The following is a 6,311-nucleotide window of genomic DNA, read 5'->3' on the forward strand; positions in this document are numbered from 1 at the left end:
AATAAGTTATCTGTGTGTATTGTATGTGTGAATAAGATTTTGAGTTTGGCCAAGGCAGTTAATCACATATTAACAACTCTTTAGATACATAAGGTTTATAGCAATGAGGTACAAAATTGGTTCAACACCAAATTCTAAGATGAAACAAGGTTTATGTTCAGAAATATAGTGTTACTTTTTCTAATATCATTTGCCCTCCAACTATCAGCATGACACATGCAAACCATTGATACGTGTTTTTTTTTTTTGTATTGAAGATTCCACATGAAGAAAAATTATTATATTTCCAATAGGAAGTCCTCTTCTAAATGACAACAAATCTGAGGGTGAACACATTTGTTAAAAAGAGAGAGATTAAAAAGTTAAGATGCTGTTTGTACAGTATATAACTGAACAAAGTTGTATCTAGCAATTTGACAAGAAAGGTAAAACAGAATATTAACCTCAGCACACAAGTTTAGCTAATGATCTGGAACGGGGAGTTGTGAGTAGAGAGGAGGACAAAGATGAAAGACAACCATTTATCCCAAGTTTCTTTCCAAAGATGAAAAATAAAAAACCCTCTTAGTAATGTTTTTTAAATTCTAACTACTTTCAAGAACACATCAATAAGATATAGAGAGATAACAATCAAGTTGGACATTAACTTAAAAGTCAGATGACTTTTTAAGCATAAGTAACTTAGAACTGTAAAGTAAAAAACACTAAATGTCAATGACTTTAAAGTGGATACTGAAGTAAAAAAAAAACCTTCTATTAAAAACTAGACTATATGCAGTAACTTATGTAGAAAGCTTAGCATAAATATTTATACAAAATTGCCCTACCATATTTTATTAAAATATTACATTATAAATTAAGAGAAAATAATTTTAAAAATGAGTTATATTTTAGGCAATTTTTCTCAAAATGAGTTTCATAAATTGATATGGTTATTAGCATAGTAATTTCAATAATAGGAACAAAGAAACCAAATGAAAACCTAATGTGTGTATGTGTGTGTGTGTGTGTTTTGTGTGTGTGTGTGTGTGTGTATACAATTACCTGGAATTCCAACTTCAATATGTTTAAAAATACTTCAGTGAAAAACATTAGATTTCTTTTAAGGTAGTTTGTAAGATATTTATTAGGTTTATTTGTAGGCCTTGCACACTAAGTTAAGCAACACTATCATAAAATAAATTATTTAATAATGAAACAGAAACTCAAAGCTTCATATTATAATTAAATAAACTCTAAAGTATCTAATAACTTCAACTGTATGCCCTTAAATAACATCAGGACTACAATGTCTATCAACTTGCCCACAGAAAAAGCAACAATGAAAGAAAGAAAGAGATATCTATTTTGTCATAAAAGATCAACACACTTTGTCCAACTGTTGGTCCAACTGCTATAAAGTGGGCCAATGCTAATGGCAAATAAAGGAGCTGCCATTCAACATGCATTCTAGTAGTGAATATTAACTGACTACTACGTGAAGGCAGTGTTCATTGAACAAATAAAAGAACCCTTGCCTGCATGACGCTTATATTTTGGTCGCTTTACATTTTACTGGAGGAAACGTGAAGAATAGAATACCAGCAATATTAGCAACAACATTATCCCACTAGAAGGGCTCCAGTGATTGATATTTCCAGACTCATCTCAGTGACCCTATATGATCTTTATATTCCAAGGAACATGGCAATGGATTTTAACATTTCCAAATTAAAAGGTAATGGTAAAGTAATGATAATCAACATAAAAAATGACTCCCTGGAAACGAAAGCAACTCATTTCAAATGGCTTTGGAATGCCATTAGGACAGCACCTTTTTATTTGTAATGCATAAGTCTCACAATCCAGAGAGCAGGTCTTGTGAATTTTGATGAGAGGTAAGGCATTACAGAAAGACACAAAAGTCACGCTCCAGATCCCAGCAATATAGCTAGTAGGACGGACACAGAGTACATAGTTGTACTACTGATCACAGTGACTTAGAGATTGGAACCTATAGTTCTGTGAGATTAGGCATCATTTCAAGATAAAATTTACATTTTTAATAAATGCAGACTTTGGCTCAGCTAAACAAGGTACCTTGGGCTATATTCTTTCCTGTAGATAGATAAATTTGACGTAATTCACCCTTGTGCAGTCTAAACATACCATGTGCCAACAGTGATGTAAGTCACTGAATATGTGAGATAAAGTATGATGAATTCTATTGACAAATACAGGCAATGGCTTCCATTTAATTGAGAAGAAACCACATACCTAGCACAAGTCATTTTCTGTGCATTAACTTTTCATAATACAACTATATGAAGTTATAGCCTATTTTATATATAAGCATTTCCAAAGGTTAAGAAAGGGCACAGTGAGAGTGAGAAGCACAGTCTGGGTCGGTAGGACAATCTAGTTGTCTATCTGTGCTTTAAACTCCTATAAACATATCTCCCATACCACAGCATCTAACTCAGAGTCACATTCGAATTGCCAGCAAATGGAAGCCTCATAAACCCAAAAGGTGAACGGCAGTGAAGTGTATAGAGCACACTTTGAGTGCACAGAGTATCTTTGCAGACAGTATCTTTTAAGACTTTCACAATCACATCATGAGATTATTCCCATACCAAAAAGTAGGAAATGAAAGCCTGGAAACAAGTTATATCGACATTAAACTGCTCTCAAACCCAAGTGTACAAATGATTTTTCTTGCAAAGAAATTTATATCCTACACAAAGTTCTATTTCAAAATGAATTCTGGAATTCAATTAAACACTCATCTTGAAAACAAGAGTTTAAGTGGAAATTCCTCACTGGTATTCAAGCAAATAAATTAAATAATGATATTAAACCTACATCTAATCTCTTATCATACATATTGAAAGTTTGCTATATAGCTACCACTAAGTTATACATTTCCAGTGACACAAACCATGAAATGAATTTCTTTCTATTGGTACTAGCAAAAAACAAACAAACTACATAGACGGCAAAAAGGTCAATCTACTAATTTATCTTCTAATAACTTTCCACCCAGGCGCATTCATCCCTCTTATTAGACGGTTGTTCTATGCTTCTTTAATTTTTTGACATTCTAATTGCCTCACCTGAACCAAAAAAAGAATGTGGATCTAGGATCAATACCTTTTGAAAAGTCATTTATTTCATTATATTAATTTTTCATATATCTGCATTATTGCATAGAATACCCGATTGGTCTTATGCTAAGTTTTTCATGTAACATTACCTCTGCAAGATGTTAATAAGTATCCTTCCAAAAATGTTTGAAAAATCTTGGGTAAAACATATTAAGTAAGTTCCTGTTTTATAGTTTTCCAAGAGTTTTACTATCCTTGGCCAATGATGAAATTCAAAGCAGAGATATAGTACACAACTTTTGTAAAATTTACCTATTTTTCTTGTAAGACTGTGGCTTTGTTTCATTTTGTTTTGTTTTGAACTTCTTTTCTGTGATGTGACATAAGACTGTGTTTTGAGTTAGGGGTGGGGACATGCATTAACAGAGGTTTAGGAACTGCTTTGTTAAAGCAAGTTTGAGGGGGAAATGGGGAGACTAATACAAGATTTTCATTGAAGCAGTGGGAGTTGAAGGGGTAGGTGGTTTTTGGAGAAAGAAGAGACCCATTCACCGCACAGGCTTCTTTATATTTCTGCTCTGTGTGATACATAGTGAAGATAGAGACATTCACTTCTTCTATTTCCCACCCCTGGCCGGGGGTAACACAAAGGGACCTGATGAAGACACAGCCTTATACCTGTATCAAGTGTCCTTGAGAGTGGTAGGACTGGAGAGGCCTGAGAAATAAAAACATACATGCATTAAAAGGAACAAATAAAGAGAAGAAGAAAACTCAGACATGGTAAATTAACTTTGTACCTTTCCTTACAACCTAGCATATCAGAGGGTACATGATTTCCTTTTGACCTGCTTCCTTTATGCTGACTGCATGAACAGGGAAGGGGGTTGGGGTACACGTGGGTGATAATTGTATTTATTATATACCTGGTATTAATACATCTATAGAGACAATTGGAATGACCATACTGGGGAAACAGCAAGGGAAGAACTGAAAAAGCTAAAATAAATACTTGGTTCTATAAAAAATACTACAAAAAGATTTCTCATGTCTGACAAATTACATTTTAGTCTAATAGCAATAAGTAGACCGAAGCTAAGGTGATTTGATAAATATCATAAGGTATTTTATTGGGAAATTGATATCTATATGTATTGCTTGTAAAGCTCAGTAATCTGTTCTTGAATTGAGAAATTACGGAGACAACATCAAAAGCTGTCATTTTTGTTTCTATGTTGTTGTTGTTATTGTTTGTGAGGTGAGAGCTTCTAAACTTTATGACTGTTTGAAAGGGACCTATATAGGCCTTGCCTGAATATTAAGTCATGTGAAATGATAAACAGCTTTCTGATTTATTGGGTTAAAGAAAAAATTGAGAAATTGAGCATCATTAAAATTAAAGACTTTTGTTATTCAAACTGTGCTTAGAATGAAAAGAAAAGCCACAGGTTGGGAGAAAATCTTTTCAAAACACATACCAGATAAATTAGTGGTATTTAAAGTATACAAAGAACTCGAAAATAAGAAAGAAAACAACTCATTTAAAAAATAGGCCAAAGGTCTAAATACAGCTGTCAAATACAGATATTGAAAAGTTACTAGTCATATATCATTAGGGAACTGCAAGTCACGACAACAGTGAGATATTATTACATGACTATTAAAATGGCCAATATCCAAAAGTCTGATAATATGAAATGCTGGCAAATGTGAGGAGAAACAGGAACTTTTATTCATTGCTGGTGAGAATGCAGAATGGTACAGCTACTTTGGGAGTCAGTTTGGCAGTTTCTTACAAAACTTAAACATACTATTACCACACAACCCAGCAATTACATTCCCTGGTATTTACTTAAAGGATTTGAAAACTTACATGCACACAAAAACCTTCTTCCCATGAATGTTATAGGAGACTTATTCATGACCACTAAAATCGAAATGTCCTTCAGGAAGTGAATGGAAAAATAAACTGTGGTATATCCAGGCAATGGAATATTATTCTATCAAGCCACAGAAGACACACAGGAACCTTTAAATGCATATTGCCGAGTGAAAGAAGCCAGTCTGAAAGTCTACATACCGTGTGATTCAACTACATGACCTTCTGGAGAAAGCAAAACTATGGAGACAGTAAAGAGATCAGTGGCTATGAGGGATTTGGAGGAGATTTGCGCAGTCTAAACATACCATGTGCCAACAATGATGTAAAGCACTGAATATGTGAGACAAAGTATGATGAATTCTATTGACAAATACAGGCAATGGCTTCCATTTAATTGAGAAGAAACCATATACCTAGCACAAGTCTTTTTCTGTGCATTAACTTTTCATAATACAACTATATGAAGTTATAGCCTATTTTATATATAAATAAAAGCATTTCCAAAGATTAAGAAAGGGCACAGTGAGAGTGAGAAGCACAGTCTGGGTAGGTAGGACAATCTAGTTGTCTATCTGTGCTTTAAACTCCTATAAACATCACCTCAATCTACTAATTTATCTTCTAGATAAAATAGTAGAGGAAGTGATGAATGGATGGAGCAAGGAAGAATTTTAGGAAAGTGAATCCATTATTCTGTGTGACACTGTAGTGAGGATTATTTGTCATTACACATTTGACAAAACCTACAGAATTCATAAGGAGTAAACTCTAATATAAACTACAGACTTTGGTCAGTAATAATGTACCAATATTGACTCATCAACTATAACAAATGTACCACACTATTGCAAGATGTTAAAAGTGAGGGAAATTGGGGTAGAGGCTGAGGAAGACATGTGAATGCTTATTCACTTCTTTTTGCAAACCTAAAATTGCTTTTAAAAAGTCAATTAATAAAAATTAAAACAAGGCAGGGTTTTCATGCAATGGAAAAAAACACACAATTTTAGTAAGTGACTGATAATTATGCTTATGCCACTTTGCTAGATTACATTTCATTAATAAATATAGTTTCATTCTTTATGTTATAAAGCAGAATAAAATCAGATATCTAGAGAAATTGATTAGAGTAAAAGCATTTTCACCTCTCAAGTCAGAATGAGCTCTTTAGAATCAGCCCATTTTATAGCTAAATCAATCATTGTTTGATTTAAAAAAAAATTGAGAAAAACATTAACTTCACTTTTTCCACGAAACTCAATGTCATGACAGCATTGTGAGTCACCTCAATGTAGGATTAAAAGCTATTTCTGGACCCAATAGACTTACTGTGCTACATTCTG

The sequence above is a fragment of the Homo sapiens genome, chromosome 20 (genome assembly GCF_000001405.40).
Source record: "Homo sapiens chromosome 20, GRCh38.p14 Primary Assembly".
In the NCBI taxonomy this organism is placed as follows: Eukaryota; Metazoa; Chordata; class Mammalia; order Primates; family Hominidae; genus Homo; species Homo sapiens.